General features: G+C 37.4%; 1 protein-coding gene across 3 annotated transcripts in view, besides 1 other annotated feature; it reads right to left on the bottom strand.

Moving 5' to 3' along the window:
* MS4A4A (membrane spanning 4-domains A4A) overlaps positions 1–22639 on the bottom strand; it is a 28305-nt gene extending 5666 nt beyond the window's left edge. Inside the window, exons 1-6 of one of the 3 annotated variants that reach the window (NM_024021.4) lie at positions 22589–22639; positions 20566–20711; positions 10921–11080; positions 5980–6108; positions 2248–2304; positions 588–746 (exon numbers count right to left, since the gene is read on the bottom strand). In NM_024021.4, the coding sequence (NP_076926.2) occupies positions 588–746; positions 2248–2304; positions 5980–6108; positions 10921–11064 (489 nt within the window). In that variant the 5' untranslated portion in view covers positions 11065–11080; positions 20566–20711; positions 22589–22639. The remainder of the gene's footprint in view (positions 1–587; positions 747–2247; positions 2305–5979; positions 6109–10920; positions 11081–20565; positions 20712–22588) is intronic. The other 2 variants (NM_148975.3, NM_001243266.2) reach the window with 2 other exon arrangements.
* Positions 22705–22754: a silencer, noted in NCBI's record as "silent region_3370". NCBI's record gives its function as "represses an Ori minimal core promoter by ATAC-STARR-seq in GM12878 lymphoblastoid cells {active_cell/tissue: GM12878}" and the evidence as "EXISTENCE:reporter gene assay evidence [ECO:0000049][PMID:35858748]".

Below are 27653 nucleotides of genomic sequence, written 5' to 3'. Positions count from 1 at the left end.
ATATTGTGTAGGTGGCATTTTCAGAATAAAGCAATTAGGATAGCATTAAGATAAGAACAATTGGTACAAAAAAGTAGTAAAAGTCATAATGAAGACTGAGATTTATCAGGAGCTAGATGTTGAGGATAAAAGTGGTTAACCTTGCAAGAACATCCAAAGATGTTGGAAAGGATACTGAGCTACTCACCACTTGTAAAATACTGTTCAAGACAATTTTACTTCATTATTAGAGAATAGGGACTGACATCAGGGCCCCATTTTTAGAGGGGATAACAGTACGTACTGCATCAATGTTTTAAAATTAAACAGAAAAATGTATACAAAATACCCAGCACAGTAACTATTAATGAGTAGGTATTCTATAACTATAAGCTTTCTTCCCATTTTGCCTCATGATATATAGAAGAATAAAGACAGAGATGAGACATGTACCTAACTCCTAAATGAAAGATTATTCTATTTCTCAATCACTCCAACTTCCCAAAGTCATTCATCAATTAGGGAATATTAATTATTGTCTTTGCCAGAGCCAGCACTCCCCAAACTTGCTTCTATAATAATATCCCCTGAAAAGAGGCAGTACCAACCATTAAGATGGACATAGTCCCATGACAATTATTTGAGTTGCCATAGTAGTTACAGTAAGGGTGATGGAATGAATAAAACGCCAAGCTAAATGTGTTGATTAAGATCCCTGATGCAGCCAGTACAGAGCTGGTGATATTCATTCCTAGACTACCTCGGACCTAGAAAGGAATGAAAATCAATTAAACAATCCAACAACATCCTCAGATATATCTCCATGAATCACTTTACACCCACCATCTCTTTCTTACTGCCATCTATCATTATCTTGATTATTTCAATAGTCTTCTAACTTGTCTTGTGGTTTCAACTCTAATCTCTTGGCAAAACACAAACATGATCTCATTATTCCGCAGCTTCAATTCTTCAGATGATTCCCGTGGGCACATAATATAATCTCCAAATCTCTTTAGCAGGGTTTTCAATGTCCTTCACACTTTAGCTGGACAGCCCTGTCTGTGTCCTTCCCTGCCACTCCTTGCTTCTGATGCCTGATTTCTTATCATTTTTCTAAATGCTGTTTGCCTGTCATGCCTCTATACCTTTTGTATATTATCTCTCTCAGCAGTATATTCTTTTCTGTACGTTCTCTTCTCATGGATAAAGGTAAGGAGGCTTTTAATAAGAACTAAAATTGCTGACTGGGCGCAGTGGCTCATGCCTGTAATCCCAGCATTTTGGGAGGCCGAAGCGGGGTGGATAATCTGAGGTCAGGAGTTTGAGACCAGTCTGACCAACATGGAGAAACCCTATCTCTACTAAAAATACAAAAATTAGCTGGGCGTGGTGGCACATGCCTGTGATCCCAGCTACTCGGGAGGCTAAGGCAGGAGAATCACTTGAACCTGAGAAGCGGAGGTTGCGGTGAGCCGAGATCACGCCATTGCACTCCAGCCTGGGTAATAAGAGTGAAACTCTGTCTCAAAAAACCAAAAACCAAAAACCAGAAAAAAAACAAACAAAAAAGAACTAAACTTGCACAGCAAAGTGTGAGGAGTATGAGTAATGTGGCTGCAGCCGGAGGGGACACTAGGGAGTTGGGTTAGGCCAGATTTGGAAAACCCATATTGATCATGCTCCAGAATTTGATATTTATCTTTTGAACAAAGAAAACTCAAATATGGACTTTAACTAGAAAAAAACATTTATTCAGATATGGACTTTCGCATTGTATTGGCTTTATGAAAGGCATCTTGGCATGAGAATTACATTTTAAATTTGCTTCTTATGTAATAACCTTATTGTGAATTTCTTTTATTGAAAACTCAAAATCCTTTCTGGACACAGTTGGAGTCTACATTATAATCAATGGGTCAGTAAATATTACACAACACCAATGCTTGGTGTCACTATCATGGGCTGACTCATGCTGCAGGGTTTTGTTGGAGCGGTCCCACTTGATATTTCTTCTCAATAATTCTCTATATCTTCAAAAAGATTCCCTCCACAAGCGTAAGATTCCCTACCTTGCCAAAATATCCAGTCCTATGTCAGCAATTAGCCTGACTGCAGTTTTTGAAAGACAGATTCTAGTAGGTAAAATGCACAATCGCTCCTGATTTTTTACAAACAAAGAAACAAAACCTGTTTTACACCCTGGCAGAATACATTTTTTATTAATCCTTCCTTTTTTTGATACCAAAAAAAGAAAATATTACTCACCAGGCCTTTTGTAGTTCTAATTCCTGCTGCAATTGACAAGGATCCTGAAATAATAAACTAAAAATGAGAGAAAAAATGAAGGTAAAAAACTTTAAGCCAGTATTGGGAGTCATAACTTACTAAACTTAATTCTAAATTAGATAGATATGTTAATCAGACCAATTATCTTAAAGAAAACCACAAAGGTTTGCACATTATTTTCCCTTTTCCCAGAAAGAACAGAGAAATAATACCAGATAAATCCATGGGAGAATTTATCAAGTTTTTCAAATATCTAACTGAAATGATATTAAAACTGTTTGAGGGCACTAAAAGATAGTTTCCAAACTCCTGATACAAAGTAATTCTTACATGGTACCAAAATTGATGACTATATTTAAACAAAAAATACACTAAAATTATTCTCATTTAGAATTTTTTTTTTTTTTTTTTTTTTTTTTTTGAGACGGAGTCTCGCTCTGTCGCCCAGGCTGGAGTGCAGTGGGGCAATCTCGGCTCACTGCAAGCTCCGCCTCCCGGGTTCACGCCATTCTCCTGCCTCAGCCTCCCGAGTAGCTGGGACTACAGGAGCCCGCCACTACGCTGGGCTAATTTTTTGTGTTTTTAGTAGAGACGGGGTTTCACCGTGTTAGCCAGGATGGTCTTGATCTCCTGACCTCGTGATCCGCCCGCCTCGGCCTCCCAAAGTGCTGGGATTACAGGCGTGAGCCACTGCGCCCGGCCAATATTTTTAAACTTATAAGCAAAATAGTAGCAAAAAAATGTAAATTCCCAATTAGATGATGACTAGAATATAGTAGTTCATTTGATTCCATCAATAGGCAATTATTTTTCATTTAGCTAAAATAACTAGTCAAGTTGGTTAGACTCTCTATCTTTTAATATTCAATTGTTGGAGTTTTTAATTTGCTTTTCAAATTTGATTTCAGATGATTCAAAGATTATATCATAATATAAAAAATACAGAACTAATAAAAAAGCTCAATAAATTTATTTAACTTCCAAATACCCAGACATAGAGATGATTCATGATATCTAAATCACCACTGGAATAAAACCACTAGAGGGAATCACCCATCATATGATATAAAATACATCATGAACATTTGGGATGTTCCTTCAGCTCTACAAACATTTTTTAATATTGAAATATTCTAATTTACACAATTAATGAATTTAAGAAAAAAATTACATGCTTATTGCTATTCATGTTTACAGTGTTGATAGGCTAGGACATTTAATACAATTCAACATTATTAGTAACTGCAACATTACTGGTAAAATATAAAGAATTATTGGCAGGGCGTGGTGGCACACGCTTGTAATCCCAGCACTTTGGGAGGCTGAGGCGGGTGGATCACGAGACCAGGAGATCGAGACCACAGTGAAACCCCGTCTGTACTAAAAATACAAAAAAATTAGCCGGGTGTGGTGGCGGGTGCCTGTAGTTCCAGCTACTTGGGAGGCTGAGGCAGGAGAATGGTGAGAACCCGGGAGGCGGAGGTTGCAGTGAGCCGAGATCGTGCCATTGCACTCCAGCCTGGGTAATAAGAGCGAAACTCTGTCTCAAAAAACCAAAAACCAAAAACCAAAAAAAAAAAAAAAAAAAGAATTGTAATTTCTGTAACATGATAGAAATCTGTCTCAGTCTAAAAGTCTTTATTATGTTTAATGATAAAAATGTAGGATCATTTCATTAAAGTCAAAATCAAGATAAAGATGCTGACTATTATGTAATACTATTCTGGGTATATTTACCAAAATAATTACATAAGAAAAATAGTTGGAACAAGTGGTTTAACTATTCTTATTTAAGTATGAACAATATATATTGCAAACATTCAAGAACGTGAACTAAAAATTACCATAAACTATTCTAAAAATTCAATAAGGCACCTTGGAAAAACATTCTATACAGAAATTATATATACACATTACAAGTGTGTATGTATGTCTGTGTATTTGAAGATGGGATTGAATAAGAGGACTTCATTTGCCACAGGAAAAAGTATGTATGTACTATCTCAGAGGAAAAAACAAGGAATGTGAAACATATACAGAAACAGAACTGAAGAGGCCAAAAATAAGAGGAACTTGTGACTGGTTCTTGGTATTGGTACTTATACTGTATGAAAGAGAAAAAGGAGGCACTTCATAGAAGAGGTTTGGAAAAAAAGGTTGAAAGAATAATGGAAGGTAGCCGCAGAAAAGAGTTCACCAATTAAGTAAAGGCTCATCTAATGGAACACCTACGAAAGTCTCAGTGATGTCTCAGCGGACAAATGGCTCCTGCAGTTCCTGGTAATCTACTGAACATGTGTGGAAGGCTTGCACCATGTAAGCTGGTTTTTAATGTGATCTTGAAAAGGAAACGGAAATAAAAACAGAAAACTAAGTAGTTAGATGTATGCAATTCTGAAAATACATTGACCCTATTTGAATCTTCATTCCTGTACCAAGCAGTTGTGATGTTGGGTTAGTTACTTAACCTCTCTTCATCCATAAAATGATTATAATGAAAAATCAGAAGTTCGTGGTGATTGTTTGAAATGAAATTGCACATATAAAGCACTAAGTAGAGTGTCCACATGATAGTAAGAGTTTAATAAGAGCTGTTATTGGCATCAGTATTTTTGGATATATGAAGTATTGTGCAGCTTTCTAGAAGTAAAACACAGCTTTACTGTTCTTCCAATCTTGCACTTCTGCTGTAAACAGGTGAAGGGGATCAAAAAGCAAGCTCTTCTATAAAACTCTACACTACCTCATTCTCAGTTTTAGAAATAAATGGAAACCCTGCAATGCTAGAATAGATTCCCTGATTCTAACATAAACCCAACTTATAAATTTTATTTTTCTCTCTTCAATGGATAAAACTTGGTATTTTATTCTCAATTTTACTCTCAATTTGCATTAAAACTATCTTGTGTTTTCTCTTGGGAGAAGGTTTTTAAATTTAAATTCCAATTCTAATTTTAATGTAATATTAATAATAGTTATAATTAATTTAATATTAATTATAATAATTAGTTATTTTATTGAATTTATGAAACAAAATATATCAAATAACATTTTCATTTTCTGAGGTAACAATTTCCTGAGTTTCGATAGTCAGTAGACTAGATATTAGAAACTGCTTGTGTACCAGCCACATCTCCTCTTCTTCCTTGCTAACTAAACCATCATTTTGTTCAGTTTCTCATGAGCTAAAGGTAGGGTAGACTCCTCCCAGCTACAGAGGTAAATCTTGATTAGTCCAAGCCAATAATGGCAAGTCCGTTATCCTTACTGACAGTTGATTTGGGAATATGTATATGAAATATTTACCAAAAGTTGGATGTGTCAACCATCTCCCCTCTGATGTGGTCTGCTAGCAATCCTTGATGAAATCCTTGCACCACTGAATGAAGCCATCCTAGAAATGATAAGCCACTAGTCTTGTTGTGAAATAATCAGTGCTTCCAATGTTTAAGCCATTCTGGTTTGGGTCTTTGGCAATGTGCTGCTGTAATATATCTAACTGACATATATAAATATTTAATCTGCCTAGATTTAATATAATACTATATTATTTGTAGTACTTTAAATATGAGAAAATTGAGTAAGAAATGGTTAGATACCACTCTCAGATTTACAGAATTACAAGATACGGTTAGAATAGGATTCCAAAGATCAGGGTATTGACAACTGCTTTATGTTATCTTCAATTATATCAAAAGATACTCTACTCACCATTACTGACCCCCAAATTGTGTACCCGATATACACGGAAATAGGGTTACTTCCATAAGTATTAGATGCCATACACATCATTGTTATTCCCATGCTAAGGCTCATCAGGGCAGTCAGAATCTGCACAACCTAAAAATGGTGAAGAAAGCAAAAACTGATTGTCCACCACAAAAATGGTGCTTCCGCCACCCCCTTTCCAATCACTAAGCTATCCTTATTCTCCTTCATTTGATAGTCATATGACCTTCTTAGTATTCTCTTATCACTCTTTTTTCACATAAATAACCGTGAATGTAATCTTACCAATATTATCTCTCGCGACGTCTATCATTGCCAATAATTTCAAGGTTAAAAGGAGTATGCCAGAACCAGCCCAGAGGTGCTTTTCTGATACCTACGATGTTACTTCTACCACAATTATTTCTCTTTTTTTCTCATGAGCTCAGAGAAGTGGCCTAGGAATTATAAAGCAATTATTGTAGCAAGGAGAAGTAACCTGAAGAAAGGAGAGTATATACAAGGGAAGAAAACAAGAAAAGCAAATATGATATTTTCTTGAAGTCTGGGGTATGAGGACACAAGTATGAGTACACAGGGATCTAAACGTAGCAGAGTAAGAGTACCATTATCCCATGGCATTCCAAAGGATCAAAAACATTTCAACAACTTATCAAAATTTATGGGATGTAGTGAAAGCAATGCTTAGAGGAAGATATATAGCATTGAATGAATATATTAGAAAATCATGATCTAAAATCAATCTCCTGAGAGTCTACCTTAAGAAACTAGAAAAAGAAGTGCAAATTAAACTCCAAATAAACAGAAGAAGAGCTATAATAGAAATTAGAGCAGAAATCATAAAATTGAAAACAGAACATGAATAAACAAAATCAATAAAATCCAAAGCAGTTTTTAAAAATATATGTATGTATAAATAAAATTTAAAAAGCCTCTAGCCAGCCTAAGAAAAAGAGAGAGGACAAAAATTACTAACATAAATGAAAGAAGGAACATCAATACAGTTCCCATAGAAATTAAAAGGATAATAAAATAATGTTATGAACAATTCTACGCCCACAGTTTGATAGCCTTGATAAAATGGATAACTCCTTAAAGACAATTTGTCAAAACTCACACAAGAAGAGACACTCTGAATAAGCCTATAATTATTAAATAAATTGAATCAATAATTAATAAATTTCCAAAACAGAAAGCATCAGACCTAGAAGGACTCAGTGGTGAATTCTACCAGACACTTAAGAAAAAAATTATACCATTATTTACAGAAAATAGAAACAGAGGACATACTCCTTAACTAATTCTCTGAAGCTAGCACTACCATCTACCAAAAATCATTCAAAAACATTACAAGAAAAGAAAACTACAGACCAACATCTCTGATGAACAAATATGCAAAAATCCTCAACAAAATATCTGCAAACTAAATCTAACAATGCATCAAAAAAATTGTGTACCATGACCACTTGGGATTTATCCCAGGTATGCAAGACTGACTATACATTCAAAAAACCGATTAATGTATTCATCACATCAACAGGCTAAAGAAGAAAAATCACATGATTATATTAACAGACGCAGAAAAAATATTGAACAAAATCCAATGCCTGTTTATTATAAAAACTCTTGAAAAACCTATTAATAGAGGAGAACTTCTTCAGGTTGATAAAGAATATTTGTGAAAAACCTACAGCTAACTTCATACTTAATGGAGAAACTCAAAGCTTTCTCACTAAGATCAGGAACAAGGCAGGGATGAGCCCTGTCACTACTCCTTTCAACATTGTACTGGAAGTCATAGCAGAAACAGTAAGACAAGAAAAGGAAATAAAGATATACAGACTGGTCAGGGAAAAATAAAACTGCCTTTGTTCCCAGACGACATGATGTCTGTGTAGAAAATCTGAAAGAATCAACCAAAAATTCCTGGAACTAACAAACAATTATATTAGGTTTACAAGATTTATACAAGATTAATACACAAGAGACAATTACTTTCTTATGTACTTATAATGAATAAGTGAAATTTGGAATTAAAAACATAATGCCATTTAAATTAGCACCTCTAAAAATAAAATATTTAGGTATTGGTATTTGGCATTTGTTAGGTATAAATCTAAAAAAAAATGTACAAAATCTATAAGAAACTACAAACTTTGATAAAATAAATGGAGAGATATTCCATGTCCATGGATAGGAAGACTCAACATTGTCAAGATGTCAGTTCTTTCCAACTTGATCAGTAGATTTAATACAATCTCCATTAAAATCCCAGCAAGTTATTTTGTATATATTGATAAACTGACTCTAAAATTTATAAGGAATGGCAAAAAACTCAGAATAGCAAACACAATCTAGAAGAAGAAGAAGAAGAAGAAGAAGAAGAAGAAGAAGAAGAAGAAGAAGAAGAAGAAGTAGTAGTTGTAGGACTAACACTACCCAATTTTAGGACATACTATAAAGTGATAGTAATCAGGACTGTGTGGTATTAGCAAAGAAATAGACAAATAGATAATGGAATAGAGTAGAAAGCCTGGAGAGAGCCACACAAATATAGTCAAGTGATCTTTGGTAATGAGCTAAAGTAATACAATGAAAAAAAAAGTATTTTAAAAAATAGTACTTAAAACTTGATATCCATAAGTAAGAATAAAAGACACATACCTTATATCTTTCACAAAAATTAACTGAAAATGAATCACAGACATAAATATTAAACTAAAAACTATAAAACTCCTAACAGATAACATAGGCCAAAATCTAGATGACCTTGGGTTTGGTGATGAATTTGTCAATACGATACCAAAGGCACAAACCATGAAATACAGAATAAATCATCTTAATTTTCTTAAAATTAAAAAGTTCTGCTCTGCAGAAGACATTGTCAAGAGATGAAAAGACAAACAACAGACTGGGAGAAGATATTTGCAAGAGTCATATCTGACAAAGGATCGTTACCCAAAATATACAACAAATTTAAAACTTAACAATAAGAACATAAACGTCCTCATTAAAAATGTGCCAAAGAATTTAACAAGACACCTTACGAAAGAAGATATAGAGATGGTAAAGAAACGCATGAAAAGATGGTCCACATCTTATGTCACAAGGGAAATGCAAATTAACATGATAGTGAGATTCCACTAGCACCTGTTAGAATGGTAAAAATCCAGAACACTGGCACTACCAATTGCTGGAGATTTTGCAGAACAGCAGGAACTCATTGACTGTTGATTGAAATCTTCAAAGTGACAAGGCCATGTGGAAGACAGTATGGCAGTTTCTTACAAAACTAAACGTACTCTTACTTACAATACACTAATCATACTTAACCAAATGAGTTGAAAAACTTATGTCCACACATGACCTGCACACAGATATTTATAGCAATGTTACTCCTAATTGCCAAAGTTGGGAAGCCATCAAGATGTCCTTCAGTAGGTGAATGCATAAATAAACTGTGGTGCTTCTAGACAATGAAATATTATTCAGTACTAAAAATAAATGAGCTATCAAGCCATAAGAAAACATGGAGGAAATTTAAATGCATGTATTTAGGTGAAAGAACGCAATCTAAAAAAAACACCTATTGTACAATTCCAACTGTATGACTTTCTGGAAAAGGCAAACTATGAAGACAATAAAAGATTTGTGGTTGCCAGGGATTGGTGGGATACTATGTGATACTACAAAGGTAGATTCATATCACTATACTTGTGTTAAAACCCACAGAACACACAACACAGAGAATGAACCCCATTGTGATTTGTGTACTTTTAGTAATGATGTGTCAATGTAGTTCATCAATTGGTACAAAGGTTACATGCTGGTGGAGGAGGTTGATAATTAAAAAGCTATGCATTTGTGGGGGCAAGGGGCATATGGGATAGATCTGTACTTTGCTCTCAATTTTTCTTTAAGCCTAAAACTGCTCTAAAACATACAGTATATTTTAAAATAATTATTCATACATTAAAAAATAAACCCACTTTGGGAGGCTGAAGCAGGCAGATCACGAGGTCAGGAGTTCAAGACCAGCCTGACCAACATGCTGAAACCCCGTCTCTACTAAAAATACAAAAATTAGCCAGGTGTGATGGCTCATGCCTGTAATCCCAACTACTCAGGAGGCTGAGGCAGGAGAATCTCTTGAACCCGGAAGACGGAGGTTGCAGTGAGCCCAGATTGTGCCACTGCACTCCAGCCTGGATGATGGAGCGAGACTCCATCTCAAAAAATAAAATTAAAAATAAATAAACAAACAAACCTAGTATGTGCCAACATAAATAACATATTTTATGAGAAATAACTATATTTCCCCCCCTCCAGAAAATGAATAATGTGAAAAAAGGATCCAGAATATCCACAGTGACATTTTCCCGTGGTTTGAAGCTTGGGCTAGTGATAAACCTATATTTAATATCCTTTCACCTGCCCTATTCTGTCATTCTTTTAATCCTTCATTTCTTTTGGGCATGCTCATCTGAGACTCCAGATGGAAATGCTCAGAGGATAGATTTTTCATCCTCTGAGCAGGGGGCTAAGAAAAGGTGCCAGAAAGAAATAGTAGCAATATGTGCCTGTCAGCTATCAGGAAGGCCTGTAAAGGGGGCGTCAGCTAGTAGTGCATAGGTGGCCTTTTATTTTGCTGCTTTTCCACACTGAGTTTAAATACAATTATCATGGATGACCCACAACCCTAGAATAGATCTGAACTCAATATATTTTAAATATAACTCAACTGGAAGCATGTTGTGACAGAATACTATATAGTTTTTCAGATGAAGAGCCTGAAAAGTAATTACTGACGTCGTGAGGGTTGGCTGTTGTATTATGAGGCTAGTGGGACAGTGTATTTGGCATTAGGTCTTATGAAATATGAGTTTGCAACACCATTGGTCTTCCCCTAGATTTGCAACTTACCCCAAGGACTTTGGGTTCTCCCTTCAAGAACTTCTCTTGCAATCCTTTCCACAGATGTGAATGTATGACAGCCATGTTTCCCAGCTGGGGCACACCAGGGCCAGCCCCTGGCATGGCCTGTTCCATTCCTTGCATGGTTGTCATGGCAGCAGAAAAGGTGCTACAATAAGAAATGTAATTTAGTATGATGTCCTGGAAATGGCAAAAGAGGACATGACACTTTGGGGCAGGTTCCTCCCTAAGGACAGAATCTGGTCTACATTCTCTTCCCATATCATAATAGCTGTTAGAGCTGGGGAAGTGGAATAGGCAACACATTAAGTGTGTGTGTGGGGCGGGGGCAGGTGGGAGAGAAACTAAATGTCATATGATATCAAGATGCTAGAAAATCCTGCAGAGAGGGACATGTTGACAGAAGCGAGGTAAACCTGTTGGACCTCTAAAATTAGAGAAATTTCTTTAAGTTCCAATTCCAAGTCGGCTCAGATTTTATTTCTATCCCTCTTACTGCCTAATCCCTTGATTACAGCCACTTACCCACAAAGGATTACTTTGTTTTTTAGTTTTGTTTTTTTGTTTTTTTTTTTTGAGATGGAGTCTCACGCTGTCACCAGGCTGCAATGCAGTGGCGCGATCTCGGCACACTGCAACCTCTGCCTCCTGGGTTCAAACGATTCTCCTGCCTCAGTCTCCCGAGTAGCTGTTACTACAGGCGCGTGCCACCATGCTGAGCCAATTTTTGTATTTTTAGTAGAGACAGAGTTTCACCATGTTGGCCAGTATGGTCTCCATCTCCTGACCTTGTGATCCGCCCGCCTCGGCCTCCCAAAGTGCTGGAATTACAGGTGTGAGCCACCGCACCCAGCTGAAGGATTACTTTTATAATAGTAATAAACTACACAAACTAATCTGCCTTCCAATTTATTGTATAGTATTGCATAGTTCCTCCTTTTCTAATCAGAGCACAGTTAAATTCACAGGGCTGAAAATCTTCCCATGTTCCTCCTTGCTGAGTGTGATTTATGTAACCTTGTATTTTGTGCCACAAACTCTGAACTTTGGGAATGAAACTTATGGCTCTCAGTCATATTCTTGGCACCACAAATCTAAATCTCTTGTCCTATTACATTGCTTTAAATCCTAACTTGCTGGTGCATAGCAAGGATCCATCAAATCATTTTTTGAGAATCTAAGCACAAACATATTACTCTTATATCTCTTTCTGTCCTCAGTATAATAACTCCAACCAAGTCATGTAGAGATAGGCTAAAGTCACATGGAAATTTTTATCTATGTAGTTGAATTCATATTCAGGTGTTTCATGATCAACTTCCATAAATTTTTAGGGAAATGAAGCTTGCTAATATCCTTCAAGTAATAGTTAATTTTGATACCACTTATTCTCCACTGAGCCCCTATAAAAGTCTCGTTTTGAGATGTGTGCCCTTTTATTGGTACCATAAATGAAAAAAAAATTGTTGTACTCCAAATTTGCTATGTTGAGAAAAAAATTAAGATTTCTCTGAAAAAATTATCATCCTGTATTTATTTTTGATACATCAATGGAAATAAATTATTAGCTATCTAACAATAAAACTGATTAAAGTCAGAAGAAGGGGGGTGAATTTCAGAGAAAGATAGAGGAGAAACGTTAAAATGAAAAGATTAATTATTTAGAACATTAATTTAACTTTAGTAATGTATATACTTAAAATTATGAAAAATAGTAAAATAAAAAGTACAAAATTACAAATTATAAAATAAGTATTTCTTTTAAAAAAGAAAGACAAATATAATAAATAAGAAATATATAATGTAAATGTGAATGAAGTAGTTAAGATAAGGAATTATATATAAGAATGTAACCAAAAAATCAATGTTCTTATTCTTTTCACTTTTAGAAAAGTTCCGAAAACAATTTGGACAAACAGAATTAGAACTCCATTTTTTTTATGAAAGTGGGAAACAACTAACATTTCTATAAATCAGGTGAAATGAGTGTTAGAAACAAAGATTACATGATGATAAATTTGGGGAGAAGTGTAGTGAGAGTATGAAAGAAACAGGACACCATGGCCACAGATTTCAGAGTATACTTATCAAGGATGAGAGGCCCCCCCTGAGGTGTACAACATAAATTACTGTTTATAATCCTGGGAATTAAATACATCAGTTGATAACTGTCACTTCCCTGGAAAAGTATAGTTCTGAGAATCATCGAAGTCAGTAGTAAAGGAGAAATCACCAAAAAGACACATATTTAGAAGGCAATCAGTCTCTGAATAAGTCCTCCATTGGAGTCCATAAAGAAGGAAGTAGATATCCTTGATACAAGCCTGCAAGAAGTCCCACAGATTAGGAGCATCTGGATATATATCACATATAGAATATGTAAAGAGTATAGATAACTTATTTAAATGAAAATTAAATCACAAACATGAAGTCAAAGATAAAGCACATAGAGTGACAGGACATATTTGGAACATAATCTCAAATTTCAAATACAAAATAGTGTTGACAGAAAACAATTGGCCAATGTGTTAAATAACAAGGAATAGCTGAAAATAGAATTAGTCAACTGGAAGAAAAATTTGAAGAAATCACCAAGAATTCTGTAGAGAAACAAGAAAATGGTCATAATAGAAGGGAGGTTAAAAGATTAGAAGTGTAGAATTAAAAGGTCTACAATATGTCTGATTAGAATTCTAAAGAATGTCACCAAGAAGGCCAACGAGAAGTTCCTAACCCTCATCATCATCAACACACACACACACACACACACACACACATACACACACACACACACACACTCCCCAAAACAATGAATAAACAAATGCATTCCAACTAAAGTAACTAAAGAAGAGCACCTGAAAACAGCAAAGGAGTAGCAGAAATCTTGTAGATCATAGAAACCCAGGATGGCTACATGAAGAAGGAGATAAAACACCTTTCTTCCACCACCCCTTCCCCCAGTTAGGACAATCTCTGAGTCAGCAGAGCCTTCTTCCTGCAGGGAGAAGGTAAGCGAGAGGACCCCAGCAGCTCCCATCACCACCATGGATACCTGTAATCTTACTACTGGAGACACTTAGAGTCTTCACAGGCTCTGAGCTCAGCTGATGGAGCTACCTGAAGTCCACATGTCTGTCCTATCCCAGAGGTGGTGCTGACACTATGCCCTGGCCTCCATGGCCTGAGCTGCTACTGTGTTGCCCCTTCTTGGAAACGAATCACTGCTACAGTGCATTCTGCTTCAGAAGTGAGTAGCTATTGCACACCTCTATCTCTGAGGCTTAACCACCACTACACCACACACACCTGGTAGCCATACCTGAGCCAAACTGCTGCTGTCTACTCTCTACCTGCTGAGGCCAGGCTGCCATGGAACTGCTCCATGCCCCCATCTTAGTTGCTGGTGCACACTGCCCCTCCAAATTCAAGCTGAAACTGTGGCCCACTCTCTGAGGACATATAGCTTTGATTGAGCTGTGTCACCCAACAATCCAGGCAAAATAACTGCAGTGCCCCACCTCCCTAGAACTGACTAGTTCCCTGGAGTCCAAGCTTCTGAGAAACCCTGGCTCCCCAGGGGGTCATTTCTATACTGCTTCAAGAAACCCAAGGACCAAGCCACAGACACGCTTAGTCATTCCTGAGGCCTTGCTGCTGCTACATCCAGCCTTACACAGCCTGGGATATTGCCATGCCCTACCATCCCAGTGTCTAGAGTTACCACTATGTGGCACTCCATCACCCAGGGATGGAGTTGCTGCAGTGTCCTAGTGGCTCTGGAACCAAAATTTCAACTGTAACCTGCTCCCCAGAGCTCAAGCCTCCAGAGCACCCCTCTTTCCCTGGAGCCATGCTGGTGTTGTGCACTGACCCCAGAATCAGTAACTCTTCCATCCCTGCCCCATGGGCTTGAGTTACTGAGGTTTGCTTCAAAGTTACAGCCTCAGCTTTGTGGGTAATCTGCATCCATCCATGCCTTGGTGAGTGAACCTGTGCCACAGTAGTTTTGCAAGACTCTGAGCCTAAGACCCCAGCTCCACAGCCACTATAATACTTGTGCCTAAAAAGTACAAGCTGTCAATCTCGATGGCAACCATGTGGTGTTAACTCTATAGGCTCACAGACTGCAAGAGTTGTAGGGGCATGGCTTTCGCCACCTAGTTTCAAAGGATGTCACAAATAGCTATGGGAGTGGAGCCACTTCAAAGAGCCTCCATCAGGGCAATGCTGAGTGGAAATATGGGGTCAGAGCCAACACAGAGTCCCAGTTAGGGATATGCCTAGTGTAGCCATGGTAGTGAGGCTACCTTTGAGATCTCGGAACTATAGGGCCACTAGCATGCAACGCCAACCTAACAGAGCTGAAGCATGGACTGAGCCCAGCAAAGATATGGGAGCAGGACTGTCTGAGGGCCCCAATCAGTGTCCCCAGGATTTAGGACATAGAATCAAAGGAAATTATTCTCCAGATTTAAAGCTTAATGCTGTTTTCTTGGTTGGGTTTTGGACTCACTTGAAACCACTTACACCTTTTTCTTGCCTAGTTATTTCTTTTGAACTGAGAAAGTCTATTCTGCACCTGTTTCACCATTATATTTTGAAGACAAATCACTTGTTTTGATTTCACAGGCTCACAGCTGGAAACATTTGCCTCCAGATAAATCATACCTTGAGTCTCATCCATATCTGCTTCTGATGTGACTCTGGACTTAGAACTTTAGAGTCAATGCTGGAATGGGTAAAAATTTTGAGGCTATTGAGACAGAAGTATTGTATTTTGTATGTGAGAAGAACATGAGTTTTGGAGGGTTGTAGATGAGATGCTATGGTTTCAATGTCCCCTCTAAAACTCATTTGAAAACTTAATTGCCATTTTAACAGTATTAAGAGGTGGGACCTTCAAGAGGTAATTACATCAGGAGACCTCTACCTGCATGAATGGATGAATGTCATTATCCTTGGAGAAGGTTAGTTATCACAGGAGTGGACTCCTGAAAAAAGAATAAATTTGGCCCCATCTCTCTCTCTGCTTTGTACGCTCACTTCCACTTTCCTTCATGGGATTATCCTCACTAGAGGTTTACACCATGCATGCCTTTAGACTTCCCAGCCTCTAGAGCTATAAGCAAAATACAATTTTATAATAAATTACCCAGTCTTCAATGGTTTTTTACAGCAGCAGAAAACAAAGATATCAAAAATTTAGTTTTGTGGGAGGACAGTACAAGTCTAGAGTTCTTGTTTCAACAAACATTGTTATTGTCACCTTAAAATAGTCAATTTATAAAACTACGTGGTTTTATGTAAGCCTAATGATGAGTACAAGGCAAAGAACTACAGCAGATACACAAACGTTAAAGAATTCAAAGCTTAGCAATTCATAAAATTACTAAATCACAAAGGTAGACCAGAGCACAAGAAAGAAACAAATATCTACAAAAACAAACCCCCCCAAAATAATAAAATGTCACTAGTAAATCCTTATCCATTAATGCTAACCTTAAATATAAATGAATTAAATCTTTGAACAAAAGTCAAAGAGCGGCTGGAAAATTTTTAAAAAACAAGATCTAACCAGATGCTGTAAGAGACTCACTTTAGCCTTAAGAAGAAACATAGTTGAAAGTTAAGGGATGGACTGTTCCATGCAAAGACTAGCCTAAAGAGAATAATTACCTGTACTTAGATCATGTAAAATAAACTTCAAGTCAAAAACTGTCAAAAGAGGCAAAGAAGGTCATCATTTAATGATTGACTGAGCATAGAGGGTGGGTAATAGAAGTCATTAATAACAAACTACTGTTGCGGGAAGTCAGGGACCCCGAACGGAGGGACCGGCTGAAGCCATGGCTGAAGAACATAAATTGTGAAGATTTCATGGACATTCATTAGTTCCCCAAATTAATACTTTTATAATATCTTATGCCTGTCTTTACTGCAATCTCTGAATATAAATTGTGAAGATTTCATGGACATTTATCACTTCCCCAATCAATACTTTTATAATTTCCTATGCCTGTCTTTACTTTAATTTCTTAATCCCGTCATCTTCGTAAGCTGAAGATGTACGTTGCCTCACGACCCTGTGATGCTTGCGTTAACTGCACAAATTGTAAAACATGTGTGTTTGAACAATATGAAATCTGGGCACCCTGAAAAAGAACAGGATAACAGCGATGTTCAGGAAACAAGGGAGATAACCATAAGGTCTGACTGCCTGCGGGGCCGGGCAGAACAAAGTCATATTTTTCTTATTGCAGAAAACAAGTAGGAGAAATATCACTGAATTCTTTTCCCAGTAAGGAATAACCCTGGGAAGAGAATGCATTCCCAGGGGGTGCCTATGGACAGCCGCTCTGGGGGTGTCTGCCTTATGCGATTGAAGATAAGGGATGAAATACACCCTGGTCTCCTGCAGCACCCTCAGGCTTGCTAGGATTAGGAAATTCCAGCCTGGTGAATTGTAGTCAGACTGGTTCTCTGCTCTTGAACCCTGTTTCCTGTTAAGATGTTTATCAATGACAATGTGTGCACAGCAGGACATGGAACCTCATTAGTAATTCTAATTTCACCCTGGCCTTGTGACCTTGCTCTGCCCTTCTGCCCTTGTGATCTTTTATTGCCATTTGAAGCATGTGATCTCTGTGACCCACTCCCTATTTGTACATTCCTCGTCTTTTGAAATCCCTAATAAAAACTTGCTGGTTTTGCAGCTCGGGGGCATCACGGTGCCTGCTGATATGTGATGTCACCCCCGGAGGCCTAGCTGTAAAATTTCTCTCTTTTGTACTCATTCTCTTTATTTCTCAGACTGGCTGACACTTAGGGAAAATAGAAAAGAACCTATGTTGAAATATTGGGGACTGGTTCCTCCAATAAACTACCAGACTTTTTTGAGACAGGGTCTCATTCTGTTGCCCAGGCTGGAGTACACTGGCACTATCGTGACTCACTGCAGCCTCGACCTCAGCCACCCAAGTAGCTGGGATTACAGGCCTGTGCCACCACACCCAGCTAATTTTTGTATTTTTTGTAGAGATGGGGTTTCTCTATGTTACCCAAGCTGGTCTCAAACTCCAGGGCTCAAGTGATCTTCCCGTCTCAGCATCCAGTAGTGCTGGGATTACAAGAGTGAGCCACCATGCCCAAACTTAAACTTACAGATTTTTAACACAGACAATGTAGTTAATTGCTGGGCCTTCCACCAAGAAAGGACACTTGCAGTCCCATAGCCCTCTTAGGGTTTCTGTTACGTTGAGTTCTTGCCACTCTTGATTAGAGGCTGCTTGTAGGGTTCTGAAATAATTTCCACATACTTTTCCTGTAACACCTTACTTTTTTGAAAGAGAAATTTTGAGGAAGGCCGAATATCTTCTATTTAGGTCTTCTAATGTTTGAAATAAAAATTACCTCTTCTCCCTTCTGGGGCAGTTGGTAAATTGTTAATTTATGGGCTTTATTAGAATGACTTTAAATTAAGCCCAGAGGGGGACAGTTCTCTGATGTTTAACAAAATTTGCGAGTACAAATTAAATTTAAGACAAAAAATAAGGCCTGCTATTTTATTTTACCCCTTTGATCCATATCTAAATTTTGTGTTCTGCTCAGAGGATGCTAAAGTGTCGATATAGGTCTGAATGTACCTACTCCATAGCATGTGAATGTAACCCACCTCATAAACTCCATTATCATTAGAACAGAGACTGCAAGAGGAAGAGGAGAGCCTCTAGGCCCGCCTCTGCATAGTCTTGTATCTAACTTACTGAGAGCAAAAAAGGAGGACAATCCTGACTCTTCTGACCAATCTTTGAGACAAACTGCAAAAGAGAGGAAGAGTCAACCTCTGACCACATGGTACCATGAAAAACATGCTCTCACCAATTATATAGACCCCTCTTATCTGCTTTTCTATTTTCCCCAAGACCGGAGAAGGTTGGAGCAGGGTCATGACAGGAGTAAAGTCCCTGTCTAGCATGTCCTTGAGTGGCAGGAAGTGTTAAAGGAAGTTTATGTTTTATACTTCAAGCCAGAAATGAGTAAGTGATAGTAGGAATACCAGTAATAATAGTCAATATGTATTTAGCATTTATTAAGTGACACGCACTGGTTTAAATGTTTTATATGTGTTATTTCATCATTAAATTCCCCTGAGAGATATATTCTATTATTCACAGGACAGAATTATAGAAACACAAGATTAAGTAACTTGAGTAAACAGTGGCAGGGCCAAAATTTAAATCCAGGTGATGTAATTCCAGAACTCCTTTGCTTAAGGGGATCCACTAAACTAGTCTGGTGAATGGAAGATCTCTTGTTTGCACAAAAACTTGTACAATTAATTTTCTTAGCAGCATTATCTATAATAGCTAAAAGGTAGAAACCACCCAATTTGGAATAAGTTAGATAACAAGACTACGTAGAGGTGGGCCAAGAGGCCCTTGTCTTCCTCTTGCAGTCTCTGTTCCAATGATAATGGAATTTGTGAGGTGGTTTGCATTTATATGCGATGGAGTAGGTATATTCAGACCTATATATACACTTTAGCACTTCCTAGACAGAACACAAAATTTAGATTTGGAGCATATGGCTAAAATAAAATAGGTCTTATTTTTGGTCTTACATTTAATCCACATCCTCAAATTTTGTTACACTTAAGGGAATTGTCCTTCTCTGGGCTTAATTTAAAGTCATTCTAATAAAGCCCATAAATTGACAATTTACCTACTTGTCCCAGAAGGGAGAAGAGGTTATTTTTATTTCAAACCTTAGAAGACCTAAATAGAAGACATCCAGTCTTCCTCAAAATTTCCCTTTCAAAAAAGTAAGGTGGCGCAAATCTTCCTATGTGGAGATTATTTCAGAGCCCTGTAAGTAGTTGCTAATCAAGAGTGGCAAGAGCTAAAGGGAACAGGAACCCTAAGAGGGCTATGAAATTACAAGTGTCCTTTCTTGGTGGAAGGTCCAGCAATTAACTACACTATCCATGTTAAAAATCTGGAAGTTTAAAGCTGGGCATTTTGACTCAATCCTGTAATCCCAGCAGTATAGGAGGCCAAGGTGGGAGGACCGCTGGAGCCCAGGAGTTTGAGATCAGACTGGGGAACATGGTGAAACCCCATCTCTACACAAAATGCAAAAATTAGCTGGGTGTGGTGGTGGGCGCCTGTAATCCCAGCTACTCAGGAGGCTGAGGCCCAGGCTGCAGTAAGCCACAATGGCATCAGGGTACTCCAGCCTGGGCAACACAGTGAGACCCTGTCTCAAAAATATCTGATAGTTTGTCATTGGTTCCTTCCATTGCCTACCCTCTATGCTCAATCAATCTCATTCTAATCCTACACAACCATTTTTCAACTCTGTGTATTTCTCCCATCTTCTCAAGGCAAGCCATTATTCTATTTTTATCAGAAGTATTCATTATAGCCTCTGAATGTTCCCTGTGTCCATTTGTGGCTTTGGATATTCAATCCACCACTGATGTTGTAGCCAGAATGATCAAATACAAAAACAATTGAGTCACCATCCCCTTTAAAAGCCTTCTTTTATATTTCACCACCCTTAGCATAAAGTTAAAATTTTTAATGTTGATAACAAAAGCTCGGCTACTTCAGCACAAATCTATTGTAGTCTTACCTCGAATCTCTCTCCTTTTAATTTTTAAAGCTCCAAGTATATTTGACTTATTTAAGTTGTTCCAAAGACGTAATTTCATTCCTATATTGAGACATCTGCATATATTGAAACCATTTGCAGGAATGTTCCACCCCTCTTGTGACCACCTTGTAAGAACAAAAACAAACCCACCACATCATCTAATCTTCTCACACATGAACAGCATTTTATAGTCTCTATCTTCTCTCAGACACTATTCCCCCACTTCCCCACCATTGCCCACATGTGGATTAGTCAGCCTATGACGGTAAATAAGGGTTTAAGAAATGTGTTATGTTCCTTCTACATTGCAAAAGTCAAAGTTATTTGGAAAGTGACTAAAGATGATTCTTCTTAGTCCATCTAAATGTGTACTTTATTCTTCTTTAATGTAAAAGAACCTCTGCCTCAATCTCTCAGGCACACCTTCAGACTGAGAATTTAGGACATGTTGGGTCTGTCTTATCAAACGCACTGGTGGTTCTCTCTCTGTGTTTAGTGCCTCTCTGGTAAGACTGTAAGCTTCCTCGAGGGCAGAGCAATTATATCAAAATAAAGCTTGTAACTGACTCCTATGCTTTCCCATAATTCTTTGGTAACATAGGTCAGGTTCTGGTCATTCAAGGCTGGTGCTTTGTCATTCTAAGAAACTCTGGCCATAAATTCATATAACTGCCTCCTCTTTTTCCACCACAGAAATCCTTGTGTTAATTATCTACGGCACATGAAGTCCCCAAGAACAAAAACGTGTTTACCATCCAGGGCTTGACTTCTCTATATTCAATTTTTTTTTTAACTGCTGAGAATATTGGATGCATATGAGGGACATTTCTTCCAGGTTGGAGAAGAATTTAAACCTTGGTTTTGCCACATCACCTATATGCATCAGGCTCTTAAGAAATACAATGTCTTTCCCCCACACCCCTGATAAAGAGGTGGGGAAACCCAGACCACCCTTCCCTCTTCTATTGGCCCCAGTCACCTTGTGGATCAGCAGCACCACCAGTCTCTTATTTCCTCATTTTTATGTCACCATCCTCCTCATGGGTCACAATTGCAAGGAGAGAGCATGAGGAGAGTGGTACAAACAGCCATCCGTTTTTCTTGGCAAAGTTGTCAAATAGACTAGAAACCCAAAATGAGGCCTGAATCTGGATGGTTTTAGAAGGATGATGGGGATGCAGAAGTGGTGGCATGGGAAGGGAAAAGGGGGAAAGGCCCGGGCTAGGAACCAAGAATTCTGTTTTTGTTTTTGTTTTTGTTTTTCTCCCAGCCCTTTTGTTAACTTGTGTGATTCTGGGTACATTATTTCCCTTTTATTGGCTTCTTTTACTTCATCTGGGGAAAGATTACAATGGCCACGACCACTTACAAGCTTCTTTCTTATCCTAAGAATGCTAAAAGTCTACAAGGTGTTTTTCATTAGCAGATTTTATCATGAGCAGCCTCAGTTTACTGCCTGGGTGCCCCATGAATAGTGCCAAAGACCACTGGAGAACTAGGTCAGGCCACAGCCCATCTAAATGTACAAGGCTGGGGACCCTGCCTGTGCCCTACTCCATGTACACCAAATTCTGCATGTGATACATCTGTTCTTAAATCCTGAGTTATAAAAATAACCAGTCAGACACAGAGAATAAAGACCACAGAAGAAGGGCATTAACAGTAGATGAGGTAACTAGTCAAAGGTTTAAAATGTTGCTTTCAGTGTTTTGATATCCTGAAGACTCAGGGGACAAAAGTAACTAAACAACCTTATCCAGCCTCCAATGTCAGCCTTTAGGAGGCTTTTCTAACTCCTATCGACTGTAGCAAAAACTGTTCCTCATCCCCCCACCGAATGCACATTTAAAGGTGCACTCAACCCACCCCAACCCTGAATACCAGCTTGGGTCATGGGAAGTGGCCTCATTATTCTTCTCATTCCCCTCCCAGAAATTCTTAACCCAGGAAGTGAAACAAGCCATCAGCCCGAAAGCCTAGGAAGGCAAGTCCCTGGACCTACCTTTCTTCAGGCCTGCAATGTCTGCTGTAGGTCTGATGCATGCAGGGCTCTGGGCAAGTTCCTCAAAGTTCTTTGGTCTAGACCCAATCAACTTCCCCCACTCCACACCTCACTCAGTTTAAATCTGCATTCCTCTTCTAGCAGATGTTTGGAACCTTAAAGGCTGTGCTGAGAATTTCTGAGACGCACAGCTAGTTCCTCTTTTATATCGGAAGCATTAACTGATTTTGTGTTCCCAATATGGGTGTGGATGTCTATTTTGAAATTTGCTGAAAAAGCAGGGGCTGCCTGATACAGTCTTTCCTATGAAAATAATACTGCTAATTACTGTGGATATCAGTGGTAGAGGATTTACTGTATGCCAGACTCTCTTCAAAAGTCGTTATATAAACAAGTAAATGGTATTTTGTAAATACCCCCTTTCACAGGGTCACACATTTCCACAGTACTCTTGTCTTCCTGGAGCACTACTATTACTATTTTATTAGGTTGGTGCAAAAGTAATTGCAGTTTTTGCCATTATTTTATGGCCAAAATCACAATTAACTTTTGCACCAACCTTAATATACACAACTTAAATGTTTTATTTACATGAAATTCCACCTTTAGAGATTCATCAGGAGTGGCCATAAAATGGCAACAAGTTGGTTGTATGGCAATAAAACAACACCTTTCTAAGTGAAGGAAGCAGCTGGTATCATAGAACGAGCTGGTCTTTGACTAAGATCAAACCAATGGCAAACATTTCTTGCATGGCCCTGTTAATCTCCTGAACCTAAGATTCATTTGTAAAATAAAATAATGCCTACTTTACATGGAGGAGGAAAGCAAAGTGGTGTGCAGTTTTCATTCATTCAGCATTTTCTTTAGAAAAACTACTATAAGCCAAGCAGTGTGCCGTGTGCTTCTGAAAAAATGGTAAAAAATAATTTTCACTCAAAGAGTTTATAGACTACTTGGAAAAACAGACCAGTAAATAAATCACTACAATCCATTACTATCAGTTATCTGCAAGGTAAAGTGGCAATACAGATGAGTAAATACATCATTACAACCCATTGTAATCAGTGATCTGCAAGGTAAAGTAGGATATCCTAAGAGAGCTCATAGGAGGATCAATGAACCCAACATTGGGTAGGCAGAGGAGACTTCCTAGATAAGGGGACATCTAATTGGAGACCTGATGAATGAGCAAAAGACACACAAATGGAAAGGGAATGAAGGAAGGTAATATTATTATTTCTATTTTTCAGAAGAAGAAACTGAAACTCAGAGATATTCGTATAGCTGGTATAGATGAGATTGAAATCCAGTTTTACTTAATTCCAAAAACTATGTGGTCTATAATCTGAAATTACGATTCTCAAAATTAAAATAGATTATATTTCAGAAATATTGTCCTGGTTTCAGACAACAGGAATAAATAATAATAAAATCAGAGAATTAGGCTCAAGGTAGAGGCAGTTCTCTAGGGAAGGGATGATGGTTACTGAACTACCTGTGATGCTAGTGAAGTTGGAGAGAATGAATGGATTTGAAAGATGCTTAGGAACAAGAAATGACAGTACTTGTTGGTATAATGGATGTGTAAATCAGGAGAAAAAACAGGAAAGGATGACACTCAGATTCTGGGTTAGGAAACTGAATGAGTGATAGAGCCATTCAGTAAGGCAATAGACATGGACCAGGACAGAACTGCAGGAACAAATAGTAAAATTTTGAACGTATTTGATCAGAGTTGTGTAGGGACCTTCAAATAAAGTTGACAAGAAGTGGATAACTGGCAGGAGCTAGGGAATGAGAACATGGCTATAGAGGTAAACCCAACAGCTCTTCGCCCAGAGGGATGAGGTCACCCAGGCTTGTGGGTGGAGGCAGAAAACGTCAAACCCTTTTTCTAGAGGATAGAGACAGTATAATCAGAAATAAGATTTCCCAGAGGATTATGAAAAAGAGGGTAAGGAAGATAGCAGGCAAACTCGGAAAATGTGGCATTGCAGAAGACAAGGGTACAGAGTTTCATGACTTCCTAAGAGAGGTTGAAATTCTGGACTAAGGACAGGCATCAGTCTCTCCTCCCACTCCATATGGTATGAAATGAGACAGTATCAGGTTATTATTAGCAGATAACAATTTCAAGAGAACAATAACATGAAATTTGACAGAGAAATATATATATTCTATATATATAGAATATATATCCTATTATATATAATAGAATATCTATATATTATATATAATTATATATCATATACAGATATATTATATATAATAGATATAATATATAATATATATTATATAATAGAATATATATTATATTATAATAGAATATATTATATATATAATAGAATGTATCTCTATATAATATGTTATATTATATATTAACAGAGACTGGGTTTCACCATTTTGGCCAGGCTGTTCTCGAACTCCAGATCTCAAGTAATATACCCTCCTCAGCCTCCCAAAGTGCTGGGATTACAGGCGTGAGCCACTGCACCCGGCCTTGAGCTGGATTTTGAATCCTATGCCCTATGTGAGCTGGAGCAAGTTGCTTAGGCTTTCTGCACCTCAGTTTACTCATCTGTAAAATATAGATAGTAATATGTCATAGCGTTGTTGAAAGGGTTATATTAGGTAATATAAATAAATTACTTATCATTTTTTGAGCACAGAAATATTTCAGTAGGAAGAAATCATTCAATTATTATTAAATACTTCAGAGAGACAAGCTAACAACAGTAAAATGTTCACTGGATTTAGCCTGAAAGAAATCATTAGTGCCCCCTTCCCCAGTTCCCAATCAATTTTCTTTCTCCAGAAGCAAGTATTTAAATTTTAATTGTTTCTTTTTGTGTTGACTCCATATTTCTAAGTGAATGATTTTAAATACTGTTCTAATTTTTGGTTTTATATATTATGCACTAACCTCCTACTACTGAAGACAATAGACTAACCCCTATATCCTTCATTTTTACCCTGGACACACCTTCCCACCATAACACTTCCTTTTCCCTCATTCTCCCATATAGTTTTATCACGATTTTTTAGTTAACTCAATTTATAGTATTTAAATCATTAATGGCTAATTCATTATGAGTGTTATGATTACGCTTCCTTTTGACCATTTTTCTCTCTGAAGTTAGTAACTGCCTCATGTTTCATATGCTGTTTTCTACATACCTGAAAATAAGTTGTTTTAAATACTCCACCATAAATGTAAATCTCAGTGTCTATAGACCCACAGGTAATTGATCTGTTTCATTAGTATTTTTCTGTATACACTCTCCCTTCCTGGCGCCTTATATTCTCCTATTCCAGTTAGGACTGGTTATACTCTAGGCCTTCAGGGATCTTAATTCACTATTCTCAGGGAATTCACTTACTTAAGTATTCACTATTGATATGGTTTGGCAGTGTCCCCACCAAATTTCATCTTGAATTGTAGCTACCATCATTCCCACATGTTGTGGGAGGGAACCACTGGGAGATAATTGAATCATGGGGGCGTGTTCCCCCATACTTTTCTCGTGGTAATGAATAAGTCTCACCAGATCTGATGATTTTATAAGTGGTTTTCCCTTTTGCTTGGCTCTCAATCTCTCTTGTCTGCCGCCATGTAAGATGTGCATTTTGCCTTCCACCATGATTCTGAGGCCTCCCCAACCATGTGGAACTGTGAGTCCATTAAACCTCTTTTTCTTTGTAAATTACCCAGTCTTGGTTATGTCTTTTTTAGCAATGTGAGAACATACTAATACAACTACCTTCTCAGACAATTAGCTGTGTCCCCAGACATATTCAACTGAAAGCACTTATAATTCTTGAGACTTACTGGGGTTCTACAAAGAGAATCAAATTTTTTCTAAGCTTCCAATTCCGTCAGTCAGGTTTTCACTTTCCGGAGGCTGCTAAGTCATTTATTGCTTGTCTAGCTGGTTTCTAACATTTAAAAAAATGATCCAATTTCTCTCATATTATTTTTGAATTTTTGGATTTATGACTTTCTCCCAGACCCTTTATAGTCATTTAGTTGGGTTTCATGAGGAAATAGATGTGTTTAATCCACCAAGATTAGCCATTATTTGAAAATTATATTTTTATAAGTGTTTTTCTTACCAGTTCATTGTATCTCTGAGGACAGATAATGTATCTTATTTATCTTTTTGATTTCAACATTTCTCAATGTCTGACACCAGGTAGGAACATTTCTGTTGAATGCTATTGGGTGGGTAAAATAGAAACAATGCAGAGAATGGATGTAGGTGGCACATCAGTCAGCAGTGAACTGAGATACAGTATCAGAGAAAATTATATTACAATCTCAGCTAAAGAGATTGGTAAAAGCCTTAGAGATATCTGGAATAAAAGATTAGAACAGAGGGAAAATGTGAAAACAAATATATTAGGAAGTAGGAGTCATGTAAAGTTGAGGTGATAGATCTAAGCACTGTAATTCCTCATTTTGAATCTAGAAAAAATATTATTTTGTATCCTTTTAATAAAAATATTTTTCCAGTGCCTATATAATTCTAAATTAAAAGCACAAAATGTTTTTTTTTCCCATATGGGTTTCCTTTGTGCTTAAGAAATGGTTCTTCAAATAGTACATATGTAGCAAAGAAAGGTATTATTCTTAAGAAAACACTCTTAAAATTCTTAACACTTAACCTCAGATACTGGTGCCTATGTATATTAATATGCAAAATAAATGCCAGTGTCCCCTAAGGACAGGGTCTGTTTAATGACAATAGCCCAACTCGTCTATGCTGACACCAAAGTAGTGTATACAAATCACATTCTTCTCTTCTTTATCATTACAAGATCTCTTAGCTCTGACCAATTTACTGCTCTGCAACCATTTTTGCCAACTAATGAAATTAAGTTTTAATCTGAAACTCTTAGAAAATGACTTACAGCCAATCAAGTCAGTCAAATTGAACAAATATATAAGTTATCAAAGGAAACAAAAGCTTTCTTTTTTTTATTTCATCACATGCCTTCTAAAGGCCCACAATTATAGAGATGTCTAATCTCACTTCCCTTGAACATTGAGTTTCACAGAGGA

The sequence above is a fragment of the Homo sapiens genome, chromosome 11, assembly GCF_000001405.40.
Source record: "Homo sapiens chromosome 11, GRCh38.p14 Primary Assembly".
Taxonomy (NCBI): Eukaryota; Metazoa; Chordata; class Mammalia; order Primates; family Hominidae; genus Homo; species Homo sapiens.
Note: the sequence above shows the minus strand (reverse complement) of the source record. Positions and strands in the feature narration are given on the sequence as shown.